General features: G+C 47.8%; 1 protein-coding gene across 3 annotated transcripts in view, besides 1 other annotated feature; it reads left to right on the top strand.

Moving 5' to 3' along the window:
• HEXA (hexosaminidase subunit alpha) overlaps positions 1-16285 on the top strand; it is a 35091-nt gene extending 18806 nt beyond the window's left edge. The window contains exons 2-14 of one of the 3 annotated variants that reach the window (NM_000520.6): positions 592-684; positions 1585-1650; positions 3472-3518; positions 4031-4141; positions 5975-6076; positions 6559-6691; positions 7950-8130; positions 9075-9161; positions 9451-9523; positions 10499-10682; positions 10884-10974; positions 11659-11763; positions 13069-16285. In NM_000520.6, the coding sequence (NP_000511.2) occupies positions 592-684; positions 1585-1650; positions 3472-3518; positions 4031-4141; positions 5975-6076; positions 6559-6691; positions 7950-8130; positions 9075-9161; positions 9451-9523; positions 10499-10682; positions 10884-10974; positions 11659-11763; positions 13069-13132 (1337 nt within the window). In that variant the 3' untranslated portion in view covers positions 13133-16285. Of the gene's footprint in view, positions 1-558; positions 685-1584; positions 1651-3471; positions 3519-4030; positions 4142-5974; positions 6077-6558; positions 6692-7949; positions 8131-9074; positions 9162-9450; positions 9524-10498; positions 10683-10883; positions 10975-11658; positions 11981-13068 lie in introns of those variants that run through there. The other 2 variants (NM_001318825.2, NR_134869.3) reach the window with 2 other exon arrangements.
• Positions 14352-14851: an enhancer, noted in NCBI's record as "H3K27ac hESC enhancer chr15:72634699-72635198 (GRCh37/hg19 assembly coordinates)". NCBI's record gives its function as "activates a minimal SCP1, AML or CMV promoter by ChIP-STARR-seq in naive H9 embryonic stem cells {active_cell/tissue: H9 hESC(naive)}" and the evidence as "EXISTENCE:reporter gene assay evidence [ECO:0000049][PMID:30033119]".

Here is a 16637-nt window from a genome sequence, read left to right as displayed (position 1 = left end):
TGGAGCCCTCAAGAGCAGTACTACTTAATATGCCAATCTTCAATGAGATAAGAAGCATATGTACCAGAATGTAAGACTGATCTCTTCATCAAGAAAATCTTGTATGAAAAAATGTTAGAACTAGACAGTGTGTTTACTCTGACATAATTGATTTACATTCAGGCTTCATATAAGTTTTCTATATAGTGACCAGCCAGTAACACAGTTTGCAAATTGGCAGCTAATCTGCAGACCATACTTGGAGTAGCAGTGCTCTAGAGCTGCCTTTCATTCAGAAGCAGTTGTTGAGGTCATGGAGTTGTTTGTTTGGTACAGGCCAAGGGCAGTCAGAAATATAGAGCCCTGGTTAAGAAGAGCTGTCACCCAGAGCATTCAGACATGGGTCAGGGCAGCTACTGAGGAGAAGAGGGGCACAACGAGAGTGAGACAGCTGAACAGATGATCAGGCACTGCCTATGCCAAGGGTAAATGCCATGTCCTCCCTTTCCTTTACCACAGGCGTGTGAGCTGAGGGACTAGAGCTAGGGTCTTGGTTTTGCCTGTTGCTTCTAATGGCAGGTTGGCCGCACCAAGCTTACCCTGTCTTCCTAGGGAAACGGCATACACTGGAGAAGAATGTGTTGGTTGTCTCTGTAGTCACACCTGGATGTAACCAGCTTCCTACTTTGGAGTCAGTGGAGAATTGTAAGTACCATCCTGTTCCCTGTCTTAGAAGAGCAAACACTTGTCTGAAGCTGTAACTCTGGATGGCCTGGCCTAAACTGCTGATGCTCGGCCTGGAGTCCCCCTTGACCCTGGGGACCGAGGGTCACCAAGTGCTGAGAGCCATGGAAGATGAGTTTTTCCTATGCAGAAACTTAACCAGTGCTAAAGGTTGGCTGTGGAACATCACACTGGCTCTTCACTGAGTCCCACAGGACTTCTACCTGGTGTACTGAATACATTTCTATTTTAGGAAAGTGTATACTTTGCTACTTTTCTCTAATAGACCCTACACTGGGGAAAGCAGGGGTTCTGGTCACTTATACTGAGATGAAGTTAAGTCATTAGTCCAGTGACTGCCTCCTGTCTTCCCTGAGCAGCATTTGGGGACTTCTCAGTCTCCAAAGTGAACAGTTGAGTTTGGCTCCTTCCTCACATTCTTGGAGGAAGTAGCTGAAGCATAGAGGAAGGGGAAAGGAGGGTGATTACAAAGGCATTGGGAGCATCGCGTGCTGCACTCACCCCTGCAGGCATCCCTGTTCCCTTTGCCAGGAGAAGACTTCTTTCATCTTTCTGCTGTGGAAACTGACCCATGAGGTAGGTGGTGCTTTGTACAGACCTCCACTCCAGCCTGACTCTTGCTGTACATCATCATCCAGGGTCTACAGAGTCACTGTGGTGACCACCCTCCCACTCTGGCCCCAGACCAGGCCATCCTACAGCTGTCTTGCTCTGGGGACATCTCCTCATTGAAAGATTTTTTAAAATATATGGTCTTACTGTTTTTTTTTTTTAGTCCAGTGATTTATATAGAATATCTGGTCTATAATCTGAGAATAGAAAACCTTAACCAACTAAATGAGTTCATTTCTGTCATTTCAGATACCCTGACCATAAATGATGACCAGTGTTTACTCCTCTCTGAGACTGTCTGGGGAGCTCTCCGAGGTAACAAATTGGGGCTGATTAAAAGAGAGAGAGAAAGGATGATGTGGGAAGGTTGGTGTTGGTGGAGTGCAGTGGCCCAGTCCCTGCTCACTGCAACCTCTGCCTCCTAGGCTCAAGCAATCTTCCCTCTTTAGCCTCCCAAGTAGCTGGGATTACAGGTGCCTGCCACCATGCCCAGCTAATTCTTGTATTTTTAGTAGAGATGGGATTTCACCATATTGCCCAGGCCAGTCTTGAACTCCTGAGTTCAAGTGATCCACCCATCTCGGCCTCCCAAAGTTCTGGGATTACAGGTGTGTGCCACCGCGCCCAGCCAGGAAGCTTTTTTTATGGGAACAATTGGCGTGTTTTCCCGTCTCTGTGGAATTGTCCCTGGAAGTTGACAGGTTTTACCCTGTGCAGCATCAGCAACTGCTGCTGCCCTAGTCAGGGGCTCTGGGAAGCAGTAGGAGAGTCTGTGGGCTGATGTTCTAGGTGCCAGCAGGGGACAGGTAGCTGGGGGCAGGGGGAATGATGCTACCACAGACACTGTCTGTCCAGCTCTTGCTAAAGACATGTAATTGGAAAGGTTTTTTTAAAAGGAAAACTATAACAAAAGAAATAGATACATGCAAAAAAAAAGATAAATAGTAGTGAAATATTTAGAACTACATTATTTCTGGAGAAAATGAGTTTACTGGCTAAACTATTGGCCCTTGCCCTTCTTCTGGGTTTACTGAGAAGGCATTTGGTGCCTAGATACAGACTTAGCCAAATATCTCTCCCACTTTTGGTAAACCCTCTGCTGGTGAATGATGTGGGAAACTCTCTCGGAATTCCACACCTTGCTTTAGTTTGTCTTCATTCCCTTGCTCCACTTCTATGCTTGGAGCAACAGCATGCTGCCTCCCCTTCCTGCCCTCTTGTACCTTTCATGCAGGTGCTGATGGTGAGTCAGGCTAGAGGTAAGGGAGGACCTGGAACTCCAGAATGCTGGGTGTCAGAGTCAGAGTGGGGAGAAGCCAAAACAGTACACTAGCAGTCTGCTCAAATCAGGTGCTGAGTGACTGCTGAGGTCTCATGGATTCTTTCACTTTGAAACTGGGGACTCTGATAATTTTCATGGGGCTTCTGCAGGGTTTCCAGAAGAGGGGCCCCAGCTGTTGAGAACATACAATACTCTGGGTTCAACATACCTGTGTGTGGGCCTTGCTAGACTCTAGGAGACAGTGTCAGTGGACTAGGGGAGTCCTTCTGGGGCAGTTGCTGTCCACCACACCTCAGCTCCCTATAGCTGGGTCTCTTCTTAGACTCTGAAGAGGAAGAGTGGATGATTTTTTTTATCTTCTAGGTCCAGCCATGAACCCAGGCTCCTTGGAAACCCAAGCTTATGATCACTTTCTCACAATTTATTCTGGGACCCCTTTTCTCAGCTCTCTTAGCTCCTGATAGGGGTTATCCATGAAAAGTCCAACTCTTGCAGGCTGAGTTGTCTCTGTGTCTGTCCTCATGAGTATATGTCTTGGCCTCTCTTCTCAATATTCTTGTGAAGGCACAGGAAATATAGATAAGAGGTATGTGGGTTTTGAAGGTTAGTATGTTGTAAGGAAGGGCACTAAAACCCTTACTCTGACATCTCCCAAAATGAAATACAGAAGTAAAGATGGATAGTGGCTTCCTAATATCCCCTTTTCATCAGTGTTAAAAATCGTCAAGCCTACACTACATCCATTTTCCCTGTGTACCCAAATGTTATGCTCTGCTACATTGAGAACCTTCCAAATAGAGACATCTCTTTTTCCACTCCCTGAGTCTTTACTCTGCCTCTCTACATCTTCCTAGGTCTGGAGACTTTTAGCCAGCTTGTTTGGAAATCTGCTGAGGGCACAGTAAGTGTGGACCCTCAAAAAGGGCTCCTTTTTCATCTCTGGGGTTGGATCCCAATATTGAGAATCCTAGAAAAATCTTGTTTTGCCTTAGGATCCTGGTGGCTTGAGATAGCCCCAGTAGAAATGGAAGAGGAGATGTGAGTGGAAAACTGGTTTGGTAGATTTGGTCTGTTTGGAATCACTGTAATTTGGTCCCCCTGAGTCATCATTTAGTAATGACCTTGAGGCCACACTGCTTTGAAGAAAATAAACTATGTTAACAGGAAAATCCAGAATTTGTAGGCTGAGTGGTGTTTGGGACAGTTGTATTAGGCTGGCGTTGGACAATTGCTCTCTGGGAAGGTGGCTGCTTATGGTCATTTATAGAGGTGGGGAGCATTTAGGGAGAGAGCGACCCTGAGAACAGTCACAGATTGGCTTTTTAAGAATCCTGGGAGAGTTGTCTTCATCTCCCTGTGCCCCCATAGTAAGCTTCCTTTGAAACTGACATGTTCAATGTTTGTTCTGCACAGTTCTTTATCAACAAGACTGAGATTGAGGACTTTCCCCGCTTTCCTCACCGGGGCTTGCTGTTGGATACATCTCGCCATTACCTGCCACTCTCTAGCATCCTGGACACTCTGGTAACCAGGCCTTAAGGCCTTCTTCACACTTAAGAGTTCTAGGGTGATGGAGCAACGGACAGACCAAGTTCCAAATTCTTAAAGAGTTAGAGAGGGAATGTATGGACTGGGTGTGGTGGCTCATGCCTGTAATCCCAACACTTTGGGAGGCCGAGGTGGGCGGATCACCTGAAGTCAGAAGTTCAAGGCCAGCCTGGCCAACATGGTGAAACTCTGTCTCTACTAAAAATACAAAAATTAGCTGGGCATGGTGGTGCATGCTTGTAATCCCAGCTACCTGGGAGGCTGAGGCAGGAGAATCGCATGAACCCAGGAGGCAGAGGTTGCAGTGGGTGGAGATCACGCCACTGCACTCCAGCCTGGGTGAAAGAGTGAGACGCTGTCTCAAAAAAAAAAAAAAAAATTGTATGTAATTCTATGAGCTCCTGGGAAAAATGTAGAAGATGAGCTGCTCCAAGACTCAAAAAATAACAGAGTGACTTAAATCTACCTTACAGGCTACTGTAGATCAATGTTCAGGCTGTTTCCAGGGATACAAATGTTTAGGGGAATTGGCTTCATTGGCAGAGCTAACTATATTTGTTTTTGAGACAGCGTCTCAATTTTTTTTTTTTTTTTTTGTATTTTTTGTAGAGCTGGGGTTTCGTCATGTTACCCAGGCTGGTCTTGAACTCCTGGGCTCAAGCAATCTGCCCACCTTGGCCTGCCAGAGTGGTAGAATTACAGGCATGAGTCACTACACCTGGCCGGCAGAGCTAACTTTAGTTAGAACAAGGTCATAGGAGAGAGACGTTCAAAGCCTTAACTTGGGGCCAGGTGCAGTGGCTCACACCTGTAATCCTAGCACTCTGGGAGGCCAAGGCGGGTGGATTGCCCGAGCTCAGGAGTTTGAGACTAACCTGGCCAAGACGGTGAAACCCCATCTCTACTGAAAATACAAAAAATTAGCCAGGCGCGATGGCGCAAACCTGTAGTCCCAGCTACTCAGGAGTCTGTGATGGGAGAATCACCTGAGCCTGGGGAGATCAAGGATGCATGAACTGTGATTGCACCACTGCACTCCAGCCTGGACAACAGAGACCCTGTCTCAAAAATAAATAAATAAATAAATAAGTGAAGGAAGGAAGGAGGCTGAGGCATGAGAAGCACTTGAACCTGGGAGGTGGAGGTTGCAGTGAGCTGAGATTGTGCCACTGCACTCCAGCCTGGGTGACACAGCAAGACTCTGTCTCAAAAAAAAAAAAAAAAAAAAAAAAAGCCTTTCCTGGGGAAGTTCCTAACTCTCTTGAGTTTAATGTGCAGTCTTATCTGACAGTTCCCAATCCAGTTCCTGTGTCTGCCTTTTCCTTTGCTCCTGTGACGGAACCAAAGGAGGCCACACATCTGCCAGCCTTTGCTTCTGAGATTATGAGTTAAGAGGCTACTAAGTTCCCAGGAGGTCTCACAGTTGGGCTTAACATCAGTCAGACAACCGAACACAAATGGCAAGAGGAAGTATTGATCTTCAGGCTTTTGGAAGATTCCAGGCTACCACAGTAGCTGCAGCCCTCCTCTTAATGTGGCCAGAATTTATTTCAAGAAGAGGAAAGACCACTTCTATCATCCATCTTTGGATGTGTTCTGGGAAAAGTAGAAGTGTGCTGGGCCTTCCCTCCATGCCATCCCTCCCTGATGGGAAGGTTTGATAGACCCCATAAATACTTAATTGAGAGCTGAGGCAGGTCAAGCCTGTAGGGGTGTGTGGAGCGGCCTGAGAGCTCGCCCAACATCGCAAGTTTGAGGCTGAAACCGGAGAGACTGTGATGGGTTCACAGTGTGCACTTTAACCTACAGGATGTCATGGCGTACAATAAATTGAACGTGTTCCACTGGCATCTGGTAGATGATCCTTCCTTCCCATATGAGAGCTTCACTTTTCCAGAGCTCATGAGAAAGGTATGTTCCCGTTTCACTCAGACCAAGTTTATGGGTCAATGTCTGAATCTGGCTGTGGCCCTGCTGGCAAGAACAGGGTCTCTCATCCTAACCAGCCAGTTTTAGACCAATATAGGGGAAGGACACTGGATTTGGAGTCAGGAGACTTGAGTTCAAGTCCAAAACTTTGCCGATAATTTGCCTTGTGACCTTCAGGAGAGAATCTCTTCTGGCCTTATTCCCTTTTTATGTATTTATATTCTGTTAAATGGACATAGTATTAATACCTACCATGATTATCTCACTGGCATTATGATACTCAGATAAAACAGATGTGATAACTTCTGGGAAATTATGATCAAGTTTTTTGAAGATAGTCCCTGACACCAAAGGGCTATGGGCAGGTTTTCTGATATCTGGGGAGTCTTGTGGGCATTTTGAGTATCTTCTACTCTGCTAGCTTTCAGGAAGTGTGAACCTGAAGGGTGTCTTGTGCCTTTCAGGGGTCCTACAACCCTGTCACCCACATCTACACAGCACAGGATGTGAAGGAGGTCATTGAATACGCACGGCTCCGGGGTATCCGTGTGCTTGCAGAGTTTGACACTCCTGGCCACACTTTGTCCTGGGGACCAGGTAAGAATGATGTCTGGGACCAGAGGGACTCTGCTTGTTATGCTCAGAGTGAAGCTTCAGGGCACTGGCTCATGGAAGTGGCATATCCCAGCCTTGGTCCTTAGAAGAATGTTTTCCATCGACTTCTTCCACCTGGGAATTTAGATAGGAAGAACTCACTTTGGACAATGGAGGCTGCTTCTTACTATTAAAATATGTACTGTTAGACTATGTAAGGGCACATTTTTCTCAGATGCCGTTGCAGGTAGTTGTGCCTAGAGTGGATGCTGAGGAATCTGACCACCAGGGTAGAATCTGAAAGAAAGAAGCCCAAGGGCAGCCTGCAGAGGTCAGAGTCAGTCAGTACCCCTGCTCCCTTTCTTCTGTATACCCTCAGCCCTCCAGTGTGAGCCCCCAACACAGGTTAAATGACAGTTGAAAAGGGCTACTGGCCTGATAGAAAACTGAAGATATTGGCCGGGCGTGGTGGCTCATGTCTGTAATCCCACCACTTTTGGAGGCCAAGGCGGGTGGATCACCTGAGGTCAGGAGTTCAAGACCAGCCTGGCCAACATGGTGAAACTCCATCTCTACTAAAAATACAAAAATTAGCCAGGCGTGGTGGCAGGCGCCTGTAATCCCAGCTACTCGGGAGGCTGAGGCAGGAGAATCGCTTGAACCCAGGAGGCAGAGGTTGCAGTGAGCCAAGATCATGCCACTGTACTCCAGCCTGGGCGACAGAGCAAGACTCTGTCTCAAAAACAAACAAACAACAACAACCAAAAAAAAACCCTGAAGATATCTTGTGACCTCAGCGTCAGGAAGTAGTCTCTGGGCCAAGGGAGATATCCCTTAGCAAATGTAAAAAGATTCTGGGTGATGGTTGACCCCACCTACAGGAGGAGATAGAGAAGAAAGATTTTGCCAGTTTGGCTGGATTAGGCTCTCTCTCTGCCTCAAGGCCTGTGAGGAGAGCAGCCTTGGGAGCAAGGGTAGCACCTGCTAGAAGCAGTGTGTCCAGGCAAGAGTGTGCGCACTGACAGTTGTCTGGCTGGAACTTAGCCTCTGCCTATGATTGTGGATATATTTGTATCTTTTTACTGTGACTAAATGGTGGTGACTACCAGTGTCTGTGAGTGCCTAAGTGTGCCTACCTAAATGTGTGTGATGTTTATGAATACACTTGTCTTGCTTTGTGTGACTCGTGTCCTTACGTGTAGGACTGTGCGTGGGGGTTTATGTATTTGTGACACTCATATGGGGTTTTCTCTTGGCTTAGGTATCCCTGGATTACTGACTCCTTGCTACTCTGGGTCTGAGCCCTCTGGCACCTTTGGACCAGTGAATCCCAGTCTCAATAATACCTATGAGTTCATGAGCACATTCTTCTTAGAAGTCAGCTCTGTCTTCCCAGATTTTTATCTTCATCTTGGAGGAGATGAGGTTGATTTCACCTGCTGGTATGAGCCCTTTGATCTTCCCACTGTGGCCTGATCAGTTGCTTACTCAGAATAGAAGTTAGCACCCGAGGGGCTGCTTAGCTCAGCTGCTGCTCTCAGGGGTCTGTATGGGCTCACATTGCTCAGGTCTTAGGCCTTCCTCTGCCCATCTACGTAGAGATCCTACCTGATTTTGGCAAGGCTTTCACTGTGAACCTCTTCCTTCCTACTCTCATATCCTTGAGGTATTGATAGAAAAAACAGCCCTGGGCACAGAATTGTCTTGGAAAAGTTCGGGATAGAGAAAAATAATCCCTGTTTATGAAGGCTTAAAATTGTCTAGTTGAAGAGTCAAGACACAGAATTCAAGACTAATAGGTGACAATGTCTAATTAGTATTCAGTTGTAAAGTCCAAACCCTTGGTTCTAGTAAGCTCAAAAGAGGCTGAGGGGCTTCTTTGAGAAGAGGGCGCTAGAGCTGAATCTGGGGAAATCAATTTGGCTTTTTGGAGATGTGAGCAGGGGAAAATATTCCAGAAGGAGAACAATGTGAGCAAAATGTGGACGTCATAACGCAAGGGATCTGCAGCAGGTGTTAGACAGCAAGGCTTGTCATCCAACTGGAAGAGCAGATAGGAAAGCCGAAATCCAGTGTGCTGGAGCTTCAAGTTAAGACCTTGGATTCTCATGTTGCAGTCCAGAGAGGATTAATATGTTTTCTCTTTGGGAGTTTGAACTTAAAACTCTTCAGGTCCAGACTCAGCCTTTCTCAGCCTGTGTCAACAGCCCACCTGCTTCACATAACTTTGCTTGGCCACACTTTCCACATGTAGGGCTTCTGAGATCCTTGCTTATTTGATTTTTCAGGTGAAAAGAGGAAGTTATAGGGGGCCAGGTGACTAATCCCCAGGCATTAGGCTTTCAGGATGTTGAAAGATTAATCTTCATTTTCTCTTGGGATTCAGGAAGTCCAACCCAGAGATCCAGGACTTTATGAGGAAGAAAGGCTTCGGTGAGGACTTCAAGCAGCTGGAGTCCTTCTACATCCAGACGTGAGGAAGGAAGGAGGGTGGGTGGGGTCCCTTGGGGGTCCTCCTGTGGGGTCCTCCCTTTCCATACCGAGTCAGGCCCTGCTTGGCCACTGTCTGGTCCCTGCAGGGTTCCCTTGTCCTTTGTCCCATCCTTTCAGATTTGGAGTGGTTGGTTTTCAGCCCAGGGGAAAGACACTGCTTAATGAGGAATAGGCCCCTGGCCAGGCTCAACCCCTAGAGCACTGGCACAAACAGTCTAGAACCCATCTGAGCTAAGCAGACACTTACTAGACACTCCTCTCCTCTCCAGGCTGCTGGACATCGTCTCTTCTTATGGCAAGGGCTATGTGGTGTGGCAGGAGGTGTTTGATAATAAAGTAAAGGTGAGCCGGGGCAGAGAAGAGAAGAAGCCACCAGCAGTGCCTCCCTCTGGTCTCCCCAGCTCCTCCCTGCCTCTACAGAGACTGATCCTCCTGGTTTGGATTGGGCTTTAATGGTCGGAGCACTCTCCTTTTCTCTCTAGAAAGGCCACAGAGTGCTGGGTGCAGTGGCTCACGCCTGTAATCCAAGCACTTTGGTAGGCCAAGGCAGGGGGATTGCTTGAGCCTAGGAGTTCAAGACCAGCCTGGCCAACATAGCAAAACCCTCATCTCTACAAAAAATACAAAAATCAGGAGGCTGAGGTTGGGGTACTGCTTGAGCCCAGGAGGCAGAGGTTGCTGTGAGCCAAGATGTGCCTCTGCACTCAACCCTGGGCAACAGAGTGAGACCCTGCCTCAAAAAAACCAAAGGCCGCTGTGGTATGAGCCCTGGGTTTATGTGTCAGAGTTTCTATCTTCCCTCACTACAAACTTAATTAAGAACTATTTCTGCTGTTAGGTTACTTGGATAGGCTGGATTTTTCTTCCTAAATCATAGATGAGGGTCTTCTGGGTCTGTGGGACCAAGGTTACCTTCTCCTTTATTGTTGATCAGTAAGATCCCAGTCTCCTGTCACATGCAAGGACTCTTCAGGAACCTTGTCCCGTCCCCAGAAACATCTGGAGACTTTTGGACATGGCAGCTCCTGGGTCCCACTGCTTGCCTCCCTCAGCTCACAGCTGGTATTACTAGCTCTGTGTGGACAGGGAGGCTGCAGAGGGACGGGGAGGAGAGCTGCAGGGAGGCCTCTTAGGGCCCTGGATTCCTTGGCCTCTGTCCTGAGGTGTGAGCTCAATGGTCAGGAGTCACAGAGACATACTTTGCTGCTGGGGAACAGAGGGAGCACATACCTGTTGTCCCATGTTGCCTGTGTATGAATAAGGCCCAGGAATCTCCTCAGCTTTGTGTCCTTACTGCCATTTGACCTTTTATAACAGATTCAGCCAGACACAATCATACAGGTGTGGCGAGAGGATATTCCAGTGAACTATATGAAGGAGCTGGAACTGGTCACCAAGGCCGGCTTCCGGGCCCTTCTCTCTGCCCCCTGGTACCTGAACCGTATATCCTATGGCCCTGACTGGAAGGATTTCTACATAGTGGAACCCCTGGCATTTGAAGGTGAAAGCAGAGAGCTCTCCTTGCTAACCAAAGGAGGCTGGGTTGGGGCACAGGATGGGAGGCAGGAAGGTCTGGGCCAGACATTTCCAGTTAGTAAATGAAACAACTTAGCTGGGGTGAGGGCCACATTGGGAAGGTGGTTGAGAGGGACCCTGGAGTTACCCCACCATCACCAGACTGTTGTTGCTTGTTTTCCCTCAGGTACCCCTGAGCAGAAGGCTCTGGTGATTGGTGGAGAGGCTTGTATGTGGGGAGAATATGTGGACAACACAAACCTGGTCCCCAGGCTCTGGTAAGGGTTTTCGGGGGGGAGGTGGAGGGTTGGGCCTGAGAGCAGGAGTTCTCCCTTAGAGACCCAATCCCATCTAGCCACCTCTGGACTAGTACCCTTCTTTCAGGCCTGAGAGAGAGCAGGCCGTGCAACGAGCCTTCTGAAGATTTGTGTGCAATATTCACTCTCCACATGACTTCCGTCTATATCCCTCCAGCTGCCCTTTGGTATGTGGGATAGGGATTGTTAACCTTACTTCCCAGAGAGATAATGAGGCCTGGAGAACATAGGTGAGTTGCTCAAGACCCAGCACAAGCATCCATGATTCCTGTAATAAGGCTTCCCTCTGCTGTTTTCACTGCAGCCTTACCAAGTATGGTTGGGTGTGCAAAGTTTACATTTTAAGGACCTCTGCTGCTGCCACTGTCATTGTGGTTAATGATGGCTTTAAGGTTTATTCTTATTCCCATATCTTTGAGAGAGGAAGAGAGTGGGATTGCTACCCACATTTTAATGAAGGTGGAGCTGAGCCGTAGAACTCTCTGGGAGCCATCCAACCTGGCTGTGGCTCATAACAAGGTATTGATCACTTCCTTTGGCCTGAGTGAGTCCAGGGTGCCTAGACAAGAGGTAGCAGCCTGTGGATGTCCAGCACCTTTGCAGGGAATACAGGGCCCAATCTGGCACATGCCCCTTTTCCTCCAGGCCCAGAGCAGGGGCTGTTGCCGAAAGGCTGTGGAGCAACAAGTTGACATCTGACCTGACATTTGCCTATGAACGTTTGTCACACTTCCGCTGTGAATTGCTGAGGTAAGCAAGCTGTGGGGCCTTCGCAAGGCGGAGCAGGCCAGATCCAGGGCTGGGGAACCCCTTAGAGAGAGGAAGACAATAATTAACAATAGCTAACACTTACAGAGGCTTATAGTCAGCCCTCATCCACGGATTCAACCAACTGCGATAAAAAGTATTCAGGAAAAAAAAAATACAACAAAAAATGGTACAAATAAAAAATACTGTATAACAACTATTTACATAGCATTTATATTGTATTAGGTATAAGTAATCTAAGATCATTTCAAGTATATGGGAAGTTGTACATTGGTTATATGCAAATACTATGTCATTTTTATATAAGGGACTTGAGCATCCTTGGATTTTGGTATCCACGGGGGTCCTGAAACAAATCCCCTGTGGATACTGAGGGACAACTGTATTTTGTGGCAAACACTGTGCTAAGTTTGTTACAAATATTGTCTCATTTAGTCTTCACCACAGCCCCATGAGACAGGTGCATTTTAGAGATAGACACTGAAGCACAGAGTTCAGGACCTTGCCCAAAGTCACTAAGAAGCAGGATTTGAACCAGGCTGACTTACAGGATGTCATGACACCTTTGCCTCTGTCAGGGATGTGCCTGTGTAAGATAGTCATTTCCCTGATTCCTTCGTTGGCTAGGTCTTGAGTACTTGGGGGACATAGCCTAGTGCAGAGCAGAGTCCTGGGCTGAGAGTCAAGCATGATGGTGTCTAAGCCTCAATTATGTCATTCACTGGGTAACTTCCAGCTGGTTCTCTAAGCATGTTGCTTACTTGGATGATAAGGGAAGCATGCCTAGAGGTCCCCTAAGGAGATTGGTCAGGTTATAGACTGAGACCCAAGGACAGGATTTCGCATCCATGTTCATGGACAGGACAGCACCTAAGTCCCCCAGTGCCACCATATTTACAGCATTTTAGAGTCAGGAACAGAGGGCTAAGTAGACCAAGAGCATTGGCTGCCTTTCAGACATCCATCTATATTCTAAAGGGATTGAGTTATTTGGGGTTAGGGTACAGAGATGGGCAGGATATAAATAGATGTCGCCAACGTTTCTGGATCTCCAAGACCTGTATCAGAATCACCTGAGGCACCTGTTCAGCTTGCAGATTCTTGCCAATACTTTGCCCCACCCCAGGTGAGAATCTCTGGAATTGAGATTCCCAGGTGCATTTGGTGTACAGTGACAGTTTGAGAGTCACCGAAATGGGGAAGGAGAGACTGTTGACTGGTGTGAAAAGTGTTGCTGGGGCCCCTTCTGAGGGGCTTATCTTGCCATTTCTTCATGTCCTCTTGCAGGCGAGGTGTCCAGGCCCAACCCCTCAATGTAGGCTTCTGTGAGCAGGAGTTTGAACAGACCTGAGCCCCAGGCACCGAGGAGGGTGCTGGCTGTAGGTGAATGGTAGTGGAGCCAGGCTTCCACTGCATCCTGGCCAGGGGACGGAGCCCCTTGCCTTCGTGCCCCTTGCCTGCGTGCCCCTGTGCTTGGAGAGAAAGGGGCCGGTGCTGGCGCTCGCATTCAATAAAGAGTAATGTGGCATTTTTCTATAATAAACATGGATTACCTGTGTTTAAAAAAAAAAGTGTGAATGGCGTTAGGGTAAGGGCACAGCCAGGCTGGAGTCAGTGTCTGCCCCTGAGGTCTTTTAAGTTGAGGGCTGGGAATGAAACCTATAGCCTTTGTGCTGTTCTGCCTTGCCTGTGAGCTATGTCACTCCCCTCCCACTCCTGACCATATTCCAGACACCTGCCCTAATCCTCAGCCTGCTCACTTCACTTCTGCATTATATCTCCAAGGCGTTGGTATATGGAAAAAGATGTAGGGGCTTGGAGGTGTTCTGGACAGTGGGGAGGGCTCCAGACCCAACCTGGTCACAGAAGAGCCTCTCCCCCATGCATACTCATCCACCTCCCTCCCCTAGAGCTATTCTCCTTTGGGTTTCTTGCTGCTTCAATTTTATACAACCATTATTTAAATATTATTAAACACATATTGTTCTCTAGGCACTGTGGTAGTGGGTTTTTTTGTTGTTTTTGTTTTTGAGACTGTCTCAAAAACTCTGTCGCCCAGGCTGACAGTGCAGTGGCACAATCTTGGCTCACTGCAGCCTCTGCCTCCTGGGTTCAAGCGATTCTCGTGCATCAGCCTCCTGAGTAACTGGAATTAATAGGCACGTGCCACCATGTCCATCTAATTCATATATATATATTTTTTTTTTCTGAGACGGAGTCTCACTGTCACACAGGCTGGAGTGCAGTGGCACGATCTCGACTCACTGCAAGCTCCACCTCCTGGGTTCACGCCATTCTCCTGCCTCAGCCTCCCCAGTAGCTGGGACTACAGGCGCCCGCCACCACGCCCGGCTAATTTTTTGTATTTTTAGTAGAGATGGGGTTTCTCCGTGTTAGCCAGGATGGTCTCGATCTCCTGACCTCGTGATCCGCCCGCCTTGGCCTCCCAAAGTGCTGGGATTACAGGCGTGAGCCACCGCGCCCGGCCGAATTCATCTATTTTTAGTAGAGATGGGGTTTCACTATATTGGCCAGGCTGGTCTTGAACTCATGACCTCAGATGTTCACTTGTCTTGGCCTCCCAAAGTGCTGGGATTAGAGGCGTGAGCCACCGCACGCGGGCCTGTGGTAAATTGTTGAATTTGAAGGACTCAGAGGCCCTGGTCAATTCCAAAATAACGTAGGCGACTTCCATCCCCCTCCTCCCAACCATTTTCAGCCCAAAGCATCTTCGCAGGGAATGGATGGCTGCGCGGAGGTGGGCGGTGGCTCTGGAGAGGGTCTTTGCAGGTGTGATTTTCTCTAGAAGGAAATGTCTCGTCGTGGACCCAGACTGCCCCCTCCTGGTTTCAGATGCAGAAGTGATACTGTAAGCCAGAGGCGGGGGCAGTAATGCATCGCAGCCATTTTAGGTGAGGATTTCCTTGGCGGTTATTTGTTAAGTTCTTTGGCTGGGCCCTGGGCTGGGGTAACAATGGACAGGTTCCAGGCATTTTTTTCAGAAAGCTTCCAGTGTAGTGGATACAGAAACTTCAGGAAGGCAGGGCTGAGAAGGATCTGAGTAAAACTCGGTCCTTCAACACCATCCTTCAGCCCCTGGGTCATGTTCCTTCGAGGTCCTGGTGGGAGGTAGACAAGCCTAGCCTTGTGCTGTTCCTGTAAGGACAGGGTGGGCATTTTCTACCAACAGAATTCTTGGAATTTTCACACAGCCCAGCCTAGCCAAGTCCAGGGCTATAGCCCAGATACACAAGTTAAGGTCCCAGCACTGGCACCCACCACAGGAGCCCCCTTACCTCTATTACCCAGAAGCTTGTAGGAGGGGTGGTCCGCAGACAAGGACCCTGCACAGGTGCGACCCTGCTTCCCTCCTGGTCATAACTTTCATGTTACTATTGCTTGGGATAATGTTAAGTAAAAATAGCAGACACTGAGTTTTAAGTCTCAAGTGGATGAAGGCAGAGATCGTGATACACTTGAGTTAAAGCAGTAGGGTTCTGTCATTTTCTATTCCTGTTGTAAACATTTTCTTTAATGTTATTATTTTTACCACTAAACTAACGTGGCCTGGTCACGACTTTCATTGGTAAAGTGTGCTGTTCCTCACCCTCCACCGTTGCTCCTTTGGTCCACTGATCATAAGAGCATTTACCTGAAGGTCGTCAGACCTCGAATGCCAACAGGTCAACTGCAGTGGCCTGCAGTTACCACCCAGTCTGTTCCAATGAACAGAATCGCTGTTGCCCCAACTCATCTCCCTTCACCTAGGCTGTAAATTGAAAGTCCCACCCCTGAGCGGAACACAGGCCATCTTGTGTGCTGTGCACCACCAGGGGGTGGGGAAGTTTCCAGACTGACTTCCTGGCTCCAGTCATCCTAGGAAAAGAGTTCTCCAGTCGCTCCCCACCCCCACCCCTTCCCATTCCAGGAGTCTATTAAGGAGGCAAAGCAGGCCTAACGGGTATCAAAGCAAAGGAGTGAATGGAGACTGGGAGAGTCTTCAACCTCTCCTCTCCTTGGTAGGAGCTGAGGCTGCATGCCAGGTACCTTCCCTTCGAGGAATCTAATAAAGCTAGGTCACTGGTGTTTTCAGGTGCTTCTCAAAGGATTGCCGTAGGGGTAGGATATCAGGATGTGGGAGCACAGGTGCCACCACAGCACTAGTGATGGAGAGTCATTGCCCCTAGACTTCTGGGACAGTGAGACTGTGAGGAAAGCTGAAATGATACTGGGAAAGGGTGAAAGAAAGGATGTAGGTGGAATTTATTTAGTATTAATGTAGGTACACATACCTTATGGCAACATTCCTAGCACTCTAAATTCTAGATTTGTATAGTTTCTGTCAATATCTTTTGTAAGCTTAATCAATACAGGGCATGACAAGTATGTGTCACATACTTTTTTTTCCACGAAGAAAAAAAATAAGTAGGAATTGGGTGCTTTGTTTATCAAAATTTGTATTTCCTTTATAAATAAACTTTGAAATAAAGGTTGAAAATTAGTATCTTTTCTAGCCGAGCCACCATTGTTTTTAAAAATCCTCTTTGAAGCAGGTGTGTGTGTGTGTGTGTGTGTGTGTGTGTGTGACGTTTTTCAACAAAATTTTTAAAAATCGAAATGTCAGGGTCAGGTGCAGTGGCTCATGCCTCTAATTCCAGCACTTTGGGAGGCCGATGTGGGAGGATTGCCTGAGCTCAGGAGTTAAAGACCACCCTGGGCAACATGGTGAGACCTGATTTCTACTAAAAATTAAAAAGATTAGCTAAGAATGGTGGTGTGTGGTTGTAGTCCCAGCTACTCAGGAGGCTGAGAAAGAAGGATCACTTCAGCCTGGAAGATTGAGGCTGCAATGAGTC

Source organism: Homo sapiens, chromosome 15 (assembly GCF_000001405.40).
Source record: "Homo sapiens chromosome 15, GRCh38.p14 Primary Assembly".
Taxonomy (NCBI): domain Eukaryota; kingdom Metazoa; phylum Chordata; class Mammalia; order Primates; family Hominidae; genus Homo; species Homo sapiens.
This window is presented reverse-complemented; position numbering and strand designations above follow the sequence as displayed.